The following is a 21,029-nucleotide window of genomic DNA, read 5'->3' on the forward strand; positions in this document are numbered from 1 at the left end:
ATTTCAGATGAAGATATGGACAGAAAAAGAAACAGAAGGAAAATAGCTAATGCAAAGGAATGTTAAGTATATAACGGACTCTTCTAACTTTATTACTAGAAAAAAGTGGATCTGCAAGGGACATAATAGCATGGCATGAATATGTGGGGGAGGAGATAAGATCTAATTAATGTAACACTAGCACCACCATCTCTGTATTTGTAAAGCACTTTACAGTTTTACCAGAGTATGTTCACATCCACTATCCCATTTAGTAATCATTACCATCCTGTGAAGAAGGCAAAGATTATCATCTCCATTTTACAAATATATCCTTAGAAACCAAGGTAAAAATGCAATACAATGAATGCATTAGAGCCGACACACTTAGAAAACTTTTAGAAAATGTTGCAGAATACTTGTACTGTATTTATTATGAAAAAATAACCTAAAGCAGAGTTCAAGGTCATGAGTGCCACTTCATGAGCATTCCCTCTGATTTACCTTAAATTACACACAAAAGGTAACAATTTTATTACTGGCAATTAGGATTGCTGTGTGTGTGTATTAGGATCACACTGTATGTATATATGTAAATTAGAATCACTGTGTGTGTGTGTGTGTGTGTGTGTGTGTCTGTGTGTGTCTGTGTGTGTGTGAGACAGAGAGAGAATTTGAGAATCTCTTTGCAAGGACAACTGCATAAGGTCCAAAACATGAATTAGCCTCATTTGAGAGGGAAACTCCAACAATTCAATCCACTGTGCTCTGTCACCATGGTAGGATACATACTGTCAATGGTTAAGTCAATTGGTACTGTCTGGGAGCCAAGGCCCCAACCATGAAATCATGGTTGTATCCTCCCCTGCCTAACTCTTATTTTCTGGGCAACTTCTGACAAGTCATAACCTTCTGATATCTCATTTTCCTTAACTGTAAAAAAAAAATCATGTTTCCTGTTTCACAGAGCCCTGAAGTTAAGATTCATTATCAAGAGTTCTATTTTGACCAAGTTAAGCTGCAAATGAGTATTAGATATTGACTCACAAGGAAATGATCACTCATCATGGAAGCCCAATGCCTTCTAAGATTAATCTCATAAAGAAACCTACATAACAGGATAAGAAATGGACCTTCACTTAATGATATAGGACCACCCTTATCAATTACTGATTATGTCACAGACAAATTAAGAAAGGACATGGAGCCTGTCTAGATGAAATGGAAGATCATTCAAGGAAAAGTGTTTTCTTCACCTACAGGGTCTGAGGGCCTCATACAGGAAGCCTACACGTAACAAGATTATATTCTGGTAAAGAATGAAAATCCCACGAGACTTTGCAGAGATGCCAACTAAAACTACCTCAAAGTTTTGTCTAAGATTTAATAGAGGACCAGAACTTTCGGGGGATGTCTGGTTTGATTTTTTTCATTAATCTAATCTTTGAATATGTAATGCATTCACGTTTCAAAAACAAGAAGGGAGGGAAGAAAGAAAATAACAGTGAATGATTCAACCCTCTATGTGTCCCCTTATACAACCACTCTCAAGCCCTACCCCAAAATGGTAACTTTTATCTTAAAGTTTCTATTGTATCCTTCCTGAGGTTTTTTTTTTTCTTTTCTCGAGTTTCATCTCTTGTTGCCCATTCTTGTTGTTCATTCTTGTTGCTAGAGTGCAATGGTGCGATATCGGCTCACCGCAACCTCCGCCTCCGGGGTTCAAGCAATTCTCCTGCCTCAGCCTCTCAAGTAGCTAGGATTACAGGCATGGGCCACCACACCCAGCTAATTTTGTATTTTTAGTAGAGACGGGGTTTCTCCATGTTGGTCAGGCTGGTCTCGAACTCCCGACCTCAGGTGATCTGCCTGCCGCGGCCTCCCAAAATGCTGGGATTACAGGCGTGAGCCACTGCGCCCAGCCCTTCCTGAGTTTTAAAAAATTAAATATATAGAAACATATTATTTTTCTACTTATTTTACATAAATGGTAGCATATTTTACAACCTGTTCTGCATCTTGCTTTTTAATTTATTGTGGATCACTCTCCCTGTCAGTGCATAGACACCTTCCCTGTTCTTTTATAAGGCTGTAAAGTATTCTATCATACAGATGAATCATAATCTATTTAGCCAGTCCTCTACTGAAGGGCACTGCTACAGTTTTACAGTTTGCAAGAATACCTTTGTTTTGTTAAATATGCTTATATTTCTACTACTTGATTTGTCAGCTTGAGATATCATCCTCTAATTTTCAGTTATTGCACGAGGAAGTCACTCTATATGCCATCTTCTTTCCCCTTTCCTCTTCCAGTATTGTTAGTTACCAGAGCATATTTTTTTCCTTTCACTCTTATCTCTACTTTCATTTTAGGCTTAGCTGTAGAAACTGAATATACTCAATAACGCAAGACCTTTTATCTTAATTTCCCCAGTTATCTATTTGCTTGTGTTCATACTCTAGTAGTATCCTTAAGTGCTCATGAAAACAAAATTATCTCACAGCAATATATTTCACTCATAATATATTATTGAATGTTCAAATTTTTTTTCAGTAGTCTTTTGTCTTTCTTGGTTCTCCTTTTCCTTTCTTGAATTTCTTTGAAGGTACTGGTTCATTATCTCTGGCATTGAAACTTGCAAAATCTGAGGCAAACCTGTTATTTTTGCCCTTGTAAGTGACTAGGTATTTTTGTATGGCCGCCCACAGAATTCTTTCTTTCTCTTTAAAGGCCAATTACTTTACTAAGATATATCTCATTGTTAACCATTCTGGGTCATTTTTGCCTGGTATGTTCTTTCAATATACAAATTTAAATCTTCTGTTATTCCTGGAAAGTTTTCTTGAATTATATCTCTAAATATCTACTTTGCTCCACTATTTTAGCTTTTTAAAATCAGACACTCTAAACTGTCTATGTTGAAACACCTTTATGTGTTTTCTATCTCACTTTCTCTCCAATTCTTTTTAACTATTTGTTTGCTTTTCTCATTTCTATCCACTATAACCATTACTGTGTTCAGTATAAATTCTATCTTGTCGCCTTCCAAATCTGTCTTCCTTTCCATGATATATTTAAATTTTACTTCTACTATTTTCTGATTCTGAATGTACATGTCTAATGCAACTGAACTCCTTTTGTTGTCTTATCTCTTCACTGAGTTCTTAAATTTGTGCTTTATGGTAAAGCTATTGTTTAATTTAATTTTTTGAGTGGTAGGAAATTTAGTCACAATTTTCATCAGTTCTATGGCAGCACTATTCCATTAAGTGCTCTCCAGTCATTAAATTCTGCTGCTGTCTTCCACTGTTTTACTTAAATTATCTGCTGTGCCAGTTTCCTTTTTTAAAAGTCATTATTGAATGAGCTGAATTTTCCTGGACCAACTCTTTGTACCAAGTTCTTAATGGGGATAAAAGGGAGGTCTTGGGAGAGAGCAGAGGAAATCCCTCTGAGCTCTACTACCCAAATGGCTCTCTCCTTCTCTGCCAAAGAAATAAACTGCTTCTTAGGATCATGCCTCTGCTATTTCTCTAAACCATACTGGGCCCAGAGAGACTGCACTGGACCCTGCTTAACCCAGATCCTAGACCAGATGTGGAAAGTGAAATAATTAGCTTTGTACTTCAGGGTGAGCTCCCCACCCTCACCCACCCCTAAGCTTTAAAAAAGAAAAATTAAGACTTCTTTGTGTCCTAACATATGGTCTATTCAATGTGCACTCGAGAAGAATTTGTGTTCTGCTGTTGAGTACTCTGTGTCTGTTACCTCTAACTGGATTATAGTGTTGCTCAGGTGCTCGATTTCCTTATTACTCTTCTGATTGTCCTATCCATTATTGAAAGTGGGGTATTCAAGTCTTCATTATTGTAGAATTGTCTCTCTCTTAAATTCTGTCAAATTTTGCTTCATATATTGTGGAAATCCATTGTTAGATATACGTATGTGTTTATCATTATTATATCTTCCTGCTGGATTGAAACTTTTATCAACATACAATGCCTTTTATCTCATAACCTTTTTTTTCAAAACTTAAAGTGTATACTGTCTGCCAATAATAATATAGTCACCCCAGATCTCTTTTGGTTATTATCTGCATGGTATGTTATATTAGGGTTCTCTAGATTAGTTCTGTCCCTCTAAAGGGGAGTTAAGTATTAACTCACACGATCACAAGGTCCCACAATAGGGCATCTGCAAGCTGAGGAGCAAGGAAAGCAAGTCTGAGTCCCAGAACTGAAGAACTTGGGAGTCTGATGTTTGAGGGATCCAGCACAGGAGAAAGATGTGGGCTAGGAAGCTAGGCCAGTCTAGTCTTTCCATGTTTTTCTGCTTGCTTTATAGTCTAGCCACGCTGGCAGCTGATTAGATGGTGCCCCCCCGCCCCAAGATTGAGGGTGCGTCTGCCTTTCCCAGCCCACTCGCTCAAATGTTAATCTCTTTTGGTAACACCCTCACAGACACACCCAGGATCAATACTTTGCATCCTTCAATCCAATCAAGTTGACACTCACTATTAACCATCATATACCTCCTTTCCCATTCTTTTACTTTCAACCTCTTTGTTCAAACCATTCTCCTGCCTCAGGCTCCCGAGTAGCTGGGATTACAGGTGCCCACCACCATGCCCAACTAATTTTTGTATTTTTAGTAGAGATGGGGTTTCACCATGTTGGCCAGGCTGGTCTCGAACTCCTGACCTTGTGATCCGCCCGCCTCGGCCTCCCAAAGTGCTGGGATTACAGGCTGAGCCACCATGCCCAGCCGTTATTTGTCTTCTATATGCCTTGTTTTTTGTTCTTTAATTCTTCCATTAGGCTGGGCACAGTGGCTCACGCCTGTAATCCCAGCACTTTGGGAGGCTGAGGCGAGTGGATCACGAGGTCAAGAGATTGAGTCCATCCTGGCCAAGAAGATGAAGCCCCGTCTCTACTAAAAATACAAAAATAAGCTGGGCATGGTGGCATGCACCTGTAGTCCCATCTACTCGGGAGGCTGAGGCAGGAGAATCGCCTGAACCCGGGAGGCGGAGGTTGCAGTGAGCCGAGATCGCGCCACTGCACTCCAGCCTGGCGACAGAGCGAGACTCCCTCAAAAAAATAAAAATAAAAATAAAAATTCTTCCATCATTGCCTGTTTATTTTTTTTTTCACTTATTTTTTTTTTTTTTGAGACAGAGTCTCACTCTGTTGCCCAGGCTGGAGCGCAGTGGTGTGGTTTCGGCTCACTGTAACGTCTGCCTCCCAGGTTCAAGTGATTCTCCTGCCTCAGCCTCCCAAGTAGCTGGGACTATAGGTGCATGCCACCACGCCCGGCTAATTTTTATATCTTTAGTAGAGATGGGTTTTCCTCAAGTTGGCCCAGCTGGTCTTGAACTCCTGAACTCAGGGGATCCACCCGCCTCAGCCTCCCAAAGTGCTGGGATTACAGGCATGAGCCATCATGCCCGGCCCATTATTGCCTTTTTAAAATTTAGGTTTTTGTTTTGTTTTGTTTTGTTTGTGCATCATTTTGATTCCCTCCTTTCCTGTTTTGTGTATTTTTAAATTTACTTAGTGGTTACTTTGGGGTTTACAATTAACACCTTAAACTTATAAAGACCTAGTTTGAATAATACCAATTTAATTTCAATAGTATACAAACACTGCTCGTATGCATCTCCAATCCTCCTCCTTCCTATTGTTATTATCACAAGTTACATCTTTATATGTGTGTGCCCATTACCACAGACATAATTATTGTTACATGCATTTGCCTTTTAAATCATATAAGTAAAAGAGGTGTTATAAACCAAAAATATAACACTGGTTTATATATTTACTTGTGTAGTAACCTTTACCAGTGTTCTTTATTTCCTCTTATGGCTTTAGGTAACTGTTAATACCCTTTTATGTCATCATAAAGAACTCCCTTTAGCATTTCTTTCTTATTCTCTTTGAAATGGAGATCTCACTATGTCGCCTAGGCTGGCCTTGAACTCCTGAGCTCAAGAGATCTTCTTGCCCTAGCCTCCTGAGTAGCTAGGATTACAGGCATGTGCCACTGTGTTGAATCTACCATTTCTTGTAGGACAGGTCTACTGGTAATGAACTCCCTCAACTTTTGTTTGTCTGGAAATATGTTAAACTCCCCTTCATTCTTCAAGGATAGTTTTGCCAAATATGGAATTCGTGGTTGACAGTTTTTTGTTTTTGTTTTCAGGACTGACAATATGTTAGTTTATTCCCTTCTGGCCACCAAGGTTCTTAATGAGAAATCAGCTATTAATCTTATTGAGAATCCCTTGTACAAGACAAGTTGCTTCTCTCTTGCTGATTTCAAAATTCTTACTCTTTGGGTTTCAACAATTTGACTATAGTGTGTCTCAGTGTGGATTTCTGAGTTTGTCCTGATTGGAATTTACCGAGCTTCTTGGATGTGCATATTCATGTCTTCATCAGATTTGGGAAGTTTATTTTTTCAAATATTTTTTTCTGCCCCTTTTTCTTTCTGGGACTCCAGTGATTCATGTATTGGTACACTTGATGGTGCCACCAGTCTCTCAGGCTCTGTTCATTTCTCTTTTTTTTCTCTCTCTCTTTCTACTCCTCAGAATGGACAGTTTGAATTATCTTGCCTTCAAGTTTGCTGATCCTTACTTCCCCCTGCTCAAAGGTTTCAACAGCAGATTTTTCATTTCAGTTATTCTACTTTTCAATTCTAGAATTTCTGTTTGGTTCCTTTTTACAATTTCTTTCTCTTTACTGAGATTCTCATTTTGTTTGTACATTGTTTTCCTTATTTGTTTTTAGTTATTTGTCCATGTTTTCTTTTAGTTCAGTAAACATTTAAGATAGTTCATTTAACATCTTTGACTAGTAATTCCAATGTGTGGGCTTCCTCCGGGGTGGTTTATATCAAATTCTTTTTTTTTCCTGTGGGCTATATTTTCCTGTATGTTTTGTATTTTTTTGTTGGAAACTGAACATTCCAAGTTTTACACTGGGGAAGCTCTGGAAACTGAATTATTTTACTCCTCCAGGATTGTTTATTTTTAAAATTTTGCTGGCTTATGATAAAGGGTATTTCAAGGAAACAGATAAAGGGATGTATAGGGCAAGGTATGGGGGAAGGGGTGCAGAGCTTCCATGCCCTCCGTAGGTGCACCACTCTCCAGGAACCTGCAGGTGTTCAGCTATGTGGAGGCTCCCTGAATGCGGTCCTCTTGGGTTTTTATGGAAGCTTCATAATGTCAGCATTCCTTCCCCCAAGGTATAGGGCAAGACTCTCTCTGGGGAAGGTCTTAGGACCCACAATCAGAAAAGTGGGCAGACATTAGAGTCCTGCCTTGGGGCAGGTGAAAGGAGGGCAGGAGAAGGTCAGAGAAATTGTTTTTCTTGAGGCCTGCTCCTGAGGCCTGACACACTCAACATTACAACAAAAGACTGTAACAAGGGCTATGGAAGTTACAAGCCAGGAATTGTGGGCAAAAACATAATACCACAGGTCATCCCCTGGTTTTCATACATGGATCCTTTAAATCAAAAGAATATACATAATTATTAATAACTAGTCCAGTCCATCATAGTGCATGACTGTCTCCCAGGGTGAGGCTACTCAGGTTTGTAGGGTTTTTTTAGATCTTGTCAGGTTCCAAAAGTGGCAGTAGTTTGGCAAACATACAGTGTTATTCTTTCCGGCATCTGGAATAATTGAGCTAAGAGATAATGTTGTCTCTTGCTCCAAGACTTTGTTTTTGTTTTGTTTTGTTTTGTTTTGTTTGTTTTTTAAGACTGAGTCTCGCTCTGTCGCCCAGGCTGAAGTGCAGTGGCATGATCTGGGCTCACTGCAACCTCTGCTTCCCGGGTCCAAGTGATTCTTCTGCCTCAGCCTCCTGAGTAGCTGGGACTACAGACGTGTGCCACCACGCCCGGCTAACTTTTGCATTTTTAGTAGAGATGGGGTTTCACCATATTGGCCAGGCTGGTCTCGATCTCCTGACCTCGTGATCCGACCGCCTTGGCCTCCCAAAGTGCTGGGATTACAGGTGTGAGCCACCACACCCAGCCAACTCCAAGACTTTTAATGTAATATTTGATTTCCCTCAATTTATAACCCACTTACTCATTTATTTACCCTCAGTTATTAGTCCTCCTTTTCTCCACTTGTCATTTATTTTTACTCAAATGTTTCCACATTTGGAAGGAGCATTAAGTTTGGTCTCTGTGCTAGTCCAGATTGCTGGTTGTAATACTAGTCTAGCAAGTGCCTTTTCCTGTGTCCATTCCCATTCATAGAGGGTAGGGTTACAAAGGTTCTGAACTAGTGAACCATTTTTACCACTAGGCAATAACAGCCGTATTCACTCTCAGCCCCAATTTTGCCAGATGGGGTGAAGGCACAACCCACCCCCATCAGGCCCTCAGGAATTCTGGCATAAGGCTTAAAAATACAGTTATACTTTCTTGCTTAGAAATAATCCTTGTTTCCAGCACTTGTAGTCCTAGGACTACTGTATCAGGTAAGGGGGAAAAAATGTTTTTAGGTGATTTGGGGAAGAAAGAAAAAAACTACAGTTGTTATACTAGTGCACTTCTCCCTTGGCAAGAATTTATAGTCATATCAGCATCCTCCACAACCCCTATTCACCAGATCCACCAGAAAAAGACACAAATCTTGTGGGGACACTCCTTTAGTCCCACTCATGCTGAATGTGAGCACACACTTGTGACGGTGAGTAAGCCAGCCCTTTGTGCTTTCATCTCCCTCTGTTATGGACAGTGTTTCAATTGCCATTTCTACTTATCTTTCAAACTATACTCTGAAGAGGTTATCTCTCTGCCCAGTGCTGGACATTATGGGCTGTACAGTATGTTCCTTTGTCTGACAACTGTTGGCCACCGAAATCCATGCAGTACCTTCTGTTCTAGTTCTTTAATGGCACTCTAAGCATTTGCATCTTCCACAAGTAAGCAAAGCCCAATCCAGAATCAGGTCTATCCCATCTGTAGCCCCCCAGGGCTACCAGCATCAGTCTCACTTGCCAGCTATGTTCAGGGCGTTCCTACCATGGAATCTGTCCCATAACCATAGGCAGCCTCTGTCTCTCTTGCGGAGAAACAGGACTGTTCTTACCGTCATTATGTGTCTGAGAGGGGGCAAAAGGAACATGTCTTGACTCAGCCCATCTCTACACTGCTGCAGTACCCCCAGATCCACTCATTCCATGGACCTCAGGGAGGCACACGGGGATACTTGCTTGCATTTTACGTCTTTTCCAAACTATTTTTCCCTTTGCTTGTCTGTTTGCCTTTTTCTATTCCTTGTATGTAATCACTGAAGTTTCTGTTCCAGTATCTCTGCAGTCAGCCAGTGATGTGGCACAGATTTCCTTAAGTGTCTGGCTCCAAAATGGGGGTGAGGGGCTCAGGACAGTACTATCTCCTTAAATCTCCTGACAGATGCCACTGGGGGAAACCCCTGAGGCCAAGAGGGCCAAATCTTGTGAAAACATCTGCATCAGTCCCTCAGGGATCCGCCAGAATGACGAGAACACCAAGGTCCCCACTTCCCACCCTGGCTTCAGCCAGATACTGCAGGCATATGGGCCATATCCCCACAGGCCACAGGGCTGAGGAATGGGGGATGGCTACTGGTTCACCCAAGCTGTCCTGCCAAAAAACAGTGGCCTCTCCCTTCAACAAGTACTCTCTTGGTGACTCTAAGTGTCCAATCAGGGCCCAGAATGCTGAAATAGTTGATTCTGGTCATTTTTTCTACTTGGGTAGTTGTTTCAGTGGAGAGATCAACCCCTGGAGGTTCTTACTCTGTCATTTTGAATGGCATTCACCCCTTTCTTTTAAAGGGGGTTTTTCCTAAAGGTCCTTTCTGGAATGAGACATCCCAAACCCTCTCTTTTGCTCAGCCTAGGTTTGAGAATGGGGAAAGGTTGCATGTGAGAGCTTAACTGTCCAGAAACAACCATTGTTAACACCCCACCCTGGTACTCTAGATTTTTTTTTTAAGAATTATTTTCTATATGTATATATACGTATAATTTTTCTTTCATCTAAGAAAGTTAATACTATTTTTTTCACATCAGAATTTATCAGCTGAGCACGGTGGCTCACACCTATAATCCTAGCACTTTGGGAGCCCGAGGCAGGCAGATCACTTGAGGTCAGGAGTTCAAGACTAGCCTGGCTAATATGGTGAAACCCCATCTCTACTAAAAATGCAAAAATTATCTGGGTGTGGTGGTGGTCGCCTGTAATACCAGCTACTTGAGAGGCTGAAACAGGAGAATCATTTGAACCTGGGAAGTAGAGGTTGCAGTGAGCTAAGATCGTGCTACTGCACTCCAGCCTGGGCAAGAGTGAGACTCCTCAAAACAAAACAAAACAAAAATGTATCTATTATCTTTTCATGCCAATAAATATATGTAACATCACTTTTACTAGCCATGTATTAGTCTAATGTATGAAATTATCATCACTTAATATTTTTGCTATAAAACTGTTTCAAACTTTTATTTTGCTTACAAACAATTCTGCAGTAAAGATCCTTATAACTAAATTTTTGTACACAACCTAATAGATTCCCTTAGAATAAGTATTCAGAAGTAGAACAAGGAATAGGAGTGCACTTCAATAGTGTCTAAAACCCATGCCAAACTGGAGACTAAGTACTAAAAGAAAATTAGAGAGATTTCCAGAACTGTCCTAGAATTGCTTCCAAAATATGATCTAAGAAAAGGGATCAAGAACTATAAATCAAGGATAAAACATGATGAGATCACTTTAAGACTGTTGGAAATTTTTAGTTTCTTCATGTTTACTCCACACCCCCACTCCCCTCATCACACAGACACTGTTTTCCTGGAGTAATGACATGTAAAATTCTTACTTTGGAAAAGCCTAGACTCCTATTATGGGGAAAGGAAGGAGGGTAGTGCTGGGAAGGTTACACCCAGGTGTTCTGTCAGCAGGTTAGCGAAACCTGAGTGAAAAAAGCAAATAGAGGCCACTACAGAGAGGAAAGGATATCAAGCTGAATAATTAACATCATTTAGGAATACAGGAGAGAGGATACATGAGGAACTGGGAACAAGAGTGACTATGAGAATTTAACTAGTACTTTCATCCGAACAATTACTAAAAAGCTCACCCTCTGGCTGTATTACACAATATCTGACCTTCTTACCAATATTGTTTTTTCTTTTTTTTTTTTTTAGACGGAGTCTCGCCCTGTGGCGTAGGCTAGAGTGCAGTGGCGCAATCTCAGCTCACTGCAACCTCCGCCTCCCAGGTCCTGATTCAAGCAATTCTCCTGCCTCAGCCTCCCGAGTAGCTGGGATTACAGGCACGCACCACCATGCCCAGCTAATGTTTGTATTTTTAGTAGAGATGGGGTTTCACCATGTTGGCCAGGCTGGTCTTGAACTCCTGACCTCGTGATCCACCTGCCTTGGCCTCCCAAAGTGCTAGGATTACAGGCATGAGCCACCACGCCTGGCCCTCTTACCAATATTCTCATGAGCTCACTGTGACATGAGACAAATTATTTATTTCACAGCATAATGCACAACAGATTAAACTTGCCTTTATTAAAGCTCCACTTCCATCAAGCCTGGACTATTTATTTTAAGTCCCAGGCTTGTGCTAGTTTACATGGTTACCTACATTCCAATCCAGCTTAGAAAGCCAACAGGGCTCAGTGAATTAATCAAGTTACTATTAAAGAGCAGTTGGCTTTGCTGGCTCTTTTCTAAAATATCACATTACTTCACTATGTGACCAAGAACAAACTACCAGCCTCCACCAAACCTAAATGAACACTGTGACTTAGTGATCACGGGTATTACTTCCAGTTAATGATTCTTAGCTTCTCTAAGCCAAATCACAAAAAGTGGGATAGCAGACGAATGTAAAAGACATGTTTTTCTGTTGCTTTCCCCTCCTCATATTAGAAAGTAGACAGGAAATACAAGCCCCAGGTCAAGGAAACAAGCGCTGAAGAACCAACACAACTGGAGCAGTATTACTCTAACTCTTCCACAGATTCTTTTCTATCACCCAAATCGCATGTTTTCCCACAACCGATGTCACAAAAGAGGCCTTTAACAGAAAAGCCTCTGGCTCTTGAGACCCGACCACTACTTGCTTTAACAGTCCACGAGAGGGAGCCCTGCAGCCACTGTATCTGCCACCTTAACAATCATGAAGATACTAATCATGAATTACCCTTGGAGATTATTGTTTAAAATTTTTTTAATTCAGTCCTATAAGGTTTTAACTCTAATCTAGGGCAAGGTCATGTTGAATGGCGCTGGTATTAAAACAAACCTGAAGATGTTCTATATCCTAACCTTCCCTTTCTTTCTCTTGATTTCCCTCAAAAAGAACAGGAGTGGTATCTAAAAGCCTATTGTTAACATCGGGTAATTACACTTACCCTACATCTACGGGACACATTTTCTTAGAAAAAAATTTTACATTTAGCATGCATGAATGAATAGGGGAAAATCAGCTAGGTGTCTGCAGCAATGGTCATTAGTAGAGCAGCACGTGCTGACATGGAGAGGCAGAGCAGCAAAGTACATGAGAACACAGGGGCTTAGGAATTAGACACATCTGAGTTTGAATCCCAATTCTGCCACTTTTACTAGTTCTGTGACATTAAACAGGTTAGTTAAGGTCTCTAATCCTCAGTTCTTCATCTGTAAAATAGGCCCCACAAGACTGTTAAAGATTAAATGAGATAATATATGCAGTATGTCTTTGCACATTTTTGGCAAAGAAAAAGCACTTAAAATTAATAGACATGGTCATTATTATGAATATCAAATATTTTTAAATATGTCATACCATTTTTTTTAACAAAACCAGATTTATTTTTCATGACAGTATAACTTCATCCTGAAAACTAATGTGCTAGAGAAATAATTGGAAACATTTAAAATATTTCAGAATAAGCATACAATCTCATTACCATAAAACAAGTATATTGGCCAAGTATGGTGGCTCAAACCTATAATCCCAGCATTATGGGAAGCTGAGGTGGGAGGATTGCTTGAGCCCAGGAGTTCGAGACCAGCCTGGGCAACATAGTGAGCCTCCATCTCTTTATATTTATATAAAAACAATGTGTGTGTGTGTGTGTGTGTGTGTGTGTGTGTGTGTGTGTGTGTGTATAAAATGAATATACAGCTTAAACTTCAGTATGAACCAAAGAAATAAATTAGCCACTCGTAATCTAAAAATTAGATTAATGTTATGTGTACAACCAATATTCCCTCCCAAAAGAATTGCTTAAGGGAGGGAATATTTGTTATACATATAACATTGATCTAAGTTTTAGATTATGCAGAATTCAATGTTCACTTTGAAAAAATTTAATAAAATAGGGATATGGGAGACATAAAACCCTATAAAAAGGTTACATACGGTGGCTCACGCCTGTTAATCCCAGCACTTTGGGAGGCTGAGGCGGGTGGATCACCTGAGGTCAGAAGTTCGAGACCAGCCTGACCAACATGGTGAAACCCTGTCTCTACTAAAAATACAAAATTAGCTGGGCGTGGTGGCGCAGGTCTGTAATCCCAGCTACTTAGGAGGCTGAGGCAGGAGAATCACTTGAACCCAGGAGGCGAAGGTTGAGGTGAGCCGAGATCATGCCATTGCACTACAACCTGGGCAACAAGAGTGAAACTCCGTCTCAAAAAAAAAAAGATTGATTACTCTTATTGTTATGGGTTAGGCATATTTTTACTCTTCAGAGCTGGGATGTGGGATATGCTGGATCCCTCTTATGCTGAAACTCAGACGCTGAACATAGCATAGCTCCTCAGTCATTAAATTCTTAATTCCCTTATTAAAGTAAGCTGAGAAAGAAAGATGAAAAGCAAAGTACACAAAGTCTTAATGCAGTTCCTTCAAAACTTAACATACAAAATAAAGCTGAATTTCCAATGTCACCAACTTGCCAAAGCACAAGTAAAATTAAACTACCATTAAACTGTATTAAGATTAAGGTCCAATACGTATCGGTCAATTTCCTAATTTATGCTATCGAGTTAAGGAAGATATTTAGAAGACAGAACATTCTGTTCTTTCAACTTTAGGACAAACAAGAAACAAAGATTAGTGGTTCTTAAATGTAGGCACTTATGAATCACCTGGAAACTAGGTGAAAGTTTTTTTAAAAACTGCACATACATGGGGCAGAATGCTCTGTGTCCTAATGCAATTCAGTACAGCAGTGCTAATCTCTACAAGCACCACTTTGTAAGGAATTACAATAGAAAAGAGATAGGAGCATGGGTGATAGAAAAGACAGGAAAAAGGGACATGGGATTATTGTTTCCTGGGATATCGCCATAAACTATTAAAGAAATGTTTGCTCTGAAACAACCTGATATGACTTCAAGAGAAATGAACGACTGGGAAGAAATTAAAATTTAATAGACACTCCAGACAAATAAGATCTTAGTCTACAATACCATAACTACAAGCACAGGCTGGCAAACTCGAGTCTGAATGAGAGACTAAATTACAAATGATGGATAGCTGCTTTCGCAGACCAAACAGATAATGGTTGGAAAAAAGTATGCTTGTGAATAGGAAACTAATGACCATGCAGTACAGTATGAAAGTTAGATAAGAGAAAAATACTATAATGAAGAAAGCTGCATGGCTGAGGGAAATGCTGAGCAAACTATTTGTACACCTAAAGAAAAGGGGAAAAGCACTAAAAGCTTCCAAATATAACAGAATCTACCCTTGTATGGGAGTTACTAGATATTAAAGACTGAGATAAACTAAGACAATATAATCAGTACGATATGAGCTTTTAAGAAACATCTTCTTTCATGTCATAATACAACTAAGTATGAAACAAATAATCAAAGTCTAACACAGTCTTATCAGAAAAACAGGAAACAACTCCAAATCAAATACACATGAGGAACTAAGCGAAATTTAGGGAAAATTCTGTATGCTTTCATACAGTCATTGTAATAAAGACAATATGAGACACATGATTCAACAGAAAGGCAGCAACCAGCCTGAACTTGGTTAACAGTTAATACAGATTATATGGAGAGAACTACAAACAGGCCCCTGTAAAATCTAACTGTAGGAGATACACAGCCATAGTCAATTCAATGCAATAAAAATATACTCAGTCTCTACTATGAGCCAGAAGCTGCCAGAGACCAGAAATAAAAAGATGAATAAAACTAAAAGCCTAAAGTGAAGAGCTTATAGGCTACAATGTAAATATCCTGAAAGGTCCCCCTGCTGCCCTAGCATGGGATGAAGTTAACTGTTAAAATGAATACAGAGCTCAAGATAATGGGCGAGCCGGGCGCGGTGGCTCACGCCTGTAATCCCAGCACTTTGGGAGGCCGAGGCGGGCGGATCACGAGGTCAGGAGATCGAGACCATCCCGGCTAAAACGGTGAAACCCCGTCTCTACTAAAAATACAAAAAATTAGCCGGGCGTAGTGGCGGGCGCCTGTAGTCCCAGCTACTCGGGAGGCTGAGGCAGGAGAATGGCGTGAACCCGGGAGGCGGAGCTTGCAGTGAGCCGAGATCCCGCCACTGCACTCCAGCCTGGGCGACAGAGCGAGACTCCGTCTCAAAAAAAAAAAAAAAAAAAAAAAAAAAAAAAAGATAATGGGCGAAACATGCTTACATGGACTGGAACATGACTGTGTCCCAAGAGTAAAAAGAAAATGGAAAAAACTGCATTTGTGTTGACATGAGAAACACTGAAAGAAAACATATTCCTTGTATTACATCTTGCTGGATGTTGGCAGAGAGACCAGGCCCTCCAGTCTGGATGACGTCAATGAGCTTTGGCAAATTCCATGAAAAGAACTGTCAAGCTGACAACTTCCATTACTATTTAATAATCATGCCAGAATTGTTCAAAAGAACACATCAGACTAGAAATTCTAATGGGCATGCATAATGGGATTATAATAATTCTTTAATGTTTAAGACATTAGTATCTCTTATACGTTAAAAATAATGTGTAACTAAAGAATGATTTATTAAGTTTAGAGACAAATTTAGAGCAGAAAAGAGATGAAATTTTATTTATTTATTTTTTGAGATGGAGTGTCACTCTGTCACCCAGGCTGGAGTGCAGTGGCACTATCTCAACTCACTGCAACCTCCGCCTCTTGGGTTCATGCCATTCTCCTGCCTCAGCCTCCCGAGCAGCTGGGATTACAGGCGCCCGCCACCACGCCCAGCTAATTTTTGTATTTTTAGTAGAGATGGGGTTTCGCCATGTTGGCCAGGCTGGTCTTGAACTCCTGACCTCAGGTGATCCACCCGCCTTGGCCTCCCAAAGTGCTGGGATTACAGGCGTGAGCCACCATGCCCAGCCGAGATGAATTTTTGACAAAAAAATCAATATGGAATTTATTTCGTGTTCACTTAATTTAGGACTCAAAATATCTTATTTCAAGAGACCAAGTATATGGCTAATTGAACAGAGGAAAATCTCTGTAGGAATATTTGCGACTCTTACTTTAGCTGACTGAAGTTACTTACTCAAAAGAGTGAAACTAAACAAGGAGCCTCCTGGTTATCTTTATGGAGTTGAATGAAAGCAGGAACTTGAGAAGCCTAGTAAGGAGACGCTGCCATAGTAAAAAATGATGCTTAGGAGCAAGGGAGCCTGTTAGAACACGTAGAAAGCTCTGGGCACCTTTCAGTGTAAACCACTCTATGGTCAGCCCAGCATTGACGTCAGTCTCTTCCTCTCTCCCATGCATCACCCTCTCTCTATTTCTCCCTCTCTCCTCTTCCTCCATTATCTTTTCCTCCCAATTTGTTGGGGCTACCCATTGCTCATTGTTATTAAGTGCCTCAAACTTAAATTTTCCCAGCATCAGTCAGGAGACCAAACAGGTTAACGTTAGCTGAATGAAAGGGCATCAAGAATCAGTTAATTAAATGCAGGAGGACCACAAATCTGTACCTTAATGGGTGTAATACTTAGATATAGGGCAGGTCTGAGGATTAGGAATCTTTTTAAAATGGGATGAGAGTTGAGGAAGTTTCTCAATGGGTCTTGGAAAAGTATTAATGCCAACATTTTCAGTTTAAATATTTGTCAGAAATAAGTCTGCTCATTCAAAACAACAACAACAACAACAACAACAACAACAACAACGCCTGGACCACTACATCCAACTGAATCTTGTTTTTTAAAAAAGGTATATATTAAATACGTCATACACTTAGAAGAATTAGATCCTTTATTTGTGGCTAATCTTGTAGCCCTCAACACCAACACAGGATTGCATGCACAGCTTTGGGGGACAGACACAGGGCAAAGAGGTTAAACATGAAGCATGAACCTCAGATTTTTGTTACGTAAATAAATCATCAATGACCAGCATAGTATGAACGTTTATGGATTAGTTGTCATGATACATTTCCAACTGCATGACCAGAGACTGTGCTTTCTGTTGTATAAGCAACCACAGTCCTTCTATCAGGTTGAATAAAAGTTTTTAACTAATGGGAGTGTAGTATTATGATGTATATATTGGTTTTCATCCACAGTCCCAGGCTAACTCCTATATCCCTTGTTACAGTCTTTTATTAAAACGTTGGGTGTGTTAGGCCTAAGGAAACAATCTCTCCAATATTCTCCTATCCTCCTTTCACCTGTTTCAATCTTCCCTGGCCTTTCTGACTGTGAGTCTTAAGACTCTCCCCAGAGAGGGTCTTGCCCCATACCCTGGGGGAATCTGGGGGAAGGAATGCTGACCTCAAGAAGCTTTCATAAAAACCCAAGAGGACTGGGTTCTGGGTGCTTCCACATAGCTTAACATGTAGAGTTTCTTGGAGGGTGGCGTCCCAGGGAAGGCATGGAAGTTCTGCACCCCTTCCCCCATACCTCACCCTACACATCTCTTCATCTGGATCCTTTGCAATATCCTTGATAATAAACTGGTAAATATAAGTGTTTCCCTGAATTCTGTGAGCTGCTCCAGCAAATTAATCCAACCCAAAAAGAGGGTCCTGGGAACCGCAACCTGAAGCTGGTCGGTCAGAAGTTCCAGAGGCCAGGACTTGTGACTGGTGTCTGGGTTTTGGGGGCTGGGAGGCAGGTTTAGGAACTGAGCCCTTAACCTGTGGGGTCTGACACTCCCTCCAGGTAGACAGTGTTGGAACTGAATTAGAGGACACCCAGTTGGTGTCCACCGCTTGGTGTGTTGGGAGAAACCCCTCCACACATTTGGTCACAGAAGTCTTCTGTGTTGATGACTGCCATGGTGGTGTGAGAGCAGAGGGAAAACACAGTTTGAGGGTTTTTCCTACACAGTGAGCATCCACAAATTTAAACAGTATCTTTAATGAGCTAAAATATTCCAAATCTCTTAACACAAGCCACTAGTATAATTCTGATATGGTTTGGCTGTGCCCCCACCCAAATCTCATCTTGAATTGTAACTCCCACAATTCCCATGTGTTGTGGGAGGGACCTGGTAGGAGGTAGTTGAATCATGGGGGTGCTAATTCTCATGATAGTGAATAAGTCTCAGGAGATCTCATGGTTTTAAAAAGGGGAGTTTCCCTGCACAACCTCTCTTGCCTTGTCTGCTGCCATGTGAGATGTGCCTTTCACCTTCGGCCGTAATTGTGAGGCCTCCCCAGCCAGGTGGAGCTATAAGTCTAATAAACCTCTTTCTTTTGTAGATTGCCCAATCTTGGAATGTCTTTATCAGCAGCGTAAAAACAGACTAATACAAATTCTTACTGATACTTGTATTCTCTTTTAATCACAAAATAGAACATTTCCCAGAGAAGAAAATACTATTTCAAGAAAATACTCCAAGAATGTTTCTGGTCATCCTAAAGTGATGTTAACAATGACTTCTTTATGTAAAAAATCCCTTTCTCAAACTCATAAACTATGTAAATATGTATGATAAATATTACCTTCTGTGCTAGAATAATAGATAATAAAAGATATAATCAAAAATAATACAAAAAGGTCAAGAATGCATCAGAAAACTTCTTTAGTGACAGATGCTATCTGAGGAAATTTTTTTATTCTGGCATGAAGAGCCCACTAAAAGTAACAGACATGGCCAGGCGAGGTGGCTCACACCTGTAATCCCAGCACTTTGGAAGGCTGAGGTAGGCAGATCACTTGAGGTCAGGAGTTCAAGACCAGCCTGGCCAACATGGTGAAACCCCGTCTCTACTAAAAATACAAAAATTAGCCGGGCGTGATGGCAGGCGCCTGTAATCCCAGCTACTTGGGAGGCTGAGGCATGAGAATTGCTTGAACCAGGGAGTTGGTGGTTGCAGTGTGCTAAGATCACGCCACTGCACTCCAGCCTAGGTGACAGAGCAAGACTCAGTCTCAAAAAAAAAAAAAAAAAAAAAAGTAACAGATGCATGCACATATTTTTTTTAAAAAATTGTTATGAAAGTCTGCATGATACGGCCATCTGAGAAATGACTTAACTTAAAAATTACAGAATTTATTGATTAAATCAGAATCATTGCAACAAAGCTGCCAAACTAACCCTGAGAGCATATTTGTACCAGATCTTTGAGAAACTACTTCTTGGCTAGAAGAATTCGTAATCATCAAAATCCCTCTATCTTGTGTAACCACGAATACAAGTTAGTTTCAAAATGTCTTCCCAAAGCTTGAACTCTCTCGGCTCTTTATAAATAACTACAGAACTGGCCTAAATTTCAGTTAATTAACAAATATGTGATCTAGACTGGGTGCGGTAGCTCATACCTGTAATCCCAGCACTTTGGGAGGCTGACGCAGGCAGATGACTTGAGGTCAGGAGTTTGACACCAGCCTGGCCAACATAGTGAAACCCCGTCTCTACTGAAAATACAAATATTAGCCGGGCATGGTAGTGATTGCCCGTAATCCTTGCTACTCAGGAGGTTGAGGCAGGAGAATTGCTTGAACCCAGGAAGTGGAGATTGCAATGAGCCAAGATTGTGCCATTGCACTCCAGCCTGGGTGACAAGAGTGAAACTCTGTCTCAAAAAAACAAAAACAAAACAGAAAAACCCCACAAATATGTGATCTGAGTATAAACCCGTGATTTTTAATTAGGTGAATAATTTCATAATACCATACTCTTAAAAATTTTTGTCCAGAGATAATTTCAAAACACATACAAAAAGTTACAAAAATAAATAGTATAAAGAACACTCTATTCTCAGATATGCATTGTTAACATTTGTCTTATTACTTGCAGTATACTTCTGTGTGTGTGTGTGTGTGTGTGTGTGTGTGTGTGTGTGTGTGCCACACCTAATTCTTTTTTCTGAACATTTGAGGGTAGGTTATAAGCACTCTAGTCCTTCACCTCTGTATTAGTCTGTTTTCAACGCTGCTGATAAAGACATACCTGAGACTGGGTAATTTATAAAGAAAAAGAGGTTTGATGGACTCACAGTTCCATGTGGCTGGGGAGGCCTCATAATCAGGGCAGAAGGCAAAAGCCACGTCTTACCTGGCAGCAGGCAAGGGTGAATGAGAGCCAAGCAAAAGGGAAACCTCTTATAAAATCATCAGATTTCGTGAGACTTATTCACTACCACGAGAACAGTATGGGGGAGAACTGCCCTGATGATTCAATTACCTCCCACTGGGCCCCTCCCAGAACACATGGGAATTATGGAAGCTACAATTCAAGATGAGATTTGGGAGGGGACACAGCCAAACCATATCAACCTCTAAACACTTCAGTGAATAACACCATAACTTAATACATGTTCCTATTATAAACAAGGTGAAAGTGAATGTCTTTGCACATACATTAACATTTATATATGATGACTCCATTTGCATACATTTCTAGTGGTGAAATCAAAGAGAAAAAAAGTTTAAAGGTGATACATATTACCAAACTGCCCTCCAGAAAGCCTGTAACAATTTGAACTTCTTCCACCAGCTCCTTAGCTGATTGCCTAAGTTTCTAAATTTGATAGGAATTTGTTTAGATGTGAGGTTTAGCATTGTTTCTTGTGTTTAATGTGTTTCTGTGCTCAACTGATTT

At 40.3% G+C, this 21,029-nt stretch overlaps 2 protein-coding genes across 9 annotated transcripts in view, besides 1 other annotated feature; one reads left to right on the forward strand and one right to left on the reverse strand.

Moving 5' to 3' along the window:
• The window catches only part of MTFR1 (mitochondrial fission regulator 1), a 134,710-nt gene that overhangs the window by 106,000 nt on the left and 7,681 nt on the right, over positions 1–21,029 (forward strand). The window lies entirely within an intron of this gene.
• Positions 1–21,029, reverse strand: part of PDE7A (phosphodiesterase 7A) — a 127,731-nt gene that overhangs the window by 35,555 nt on the left and 71,147 nt on the right. The window lies entirely within an intron of this gene.
• Positions 2,609–2,658: an enhancer, noted in NCBI's record as "active region_27463". NCBI's record gives its function as "activates an Ori minimal core promoter by ATAC-STARR-seq in GM12878 lymphoblastoid cells {active_cell/tissue: GM12878}" and the evidence as "EXISTENCE:reporter gene assay evidence [ECO:0000049][PMID:35858748]".

Source organism: Homo sapiens, chromosome 8, assembly GCF_000001405.40.
Source record: "Homo sapiens chromosome 8, GRCh38.p14 Primary Assembly".
In the NCBI taxonomy this organism is placed as follows: Eukaryota; Metazoa; Chordata; class Mammalia; order Primates; family Hominidae; genus Homo; species Homo sapiens.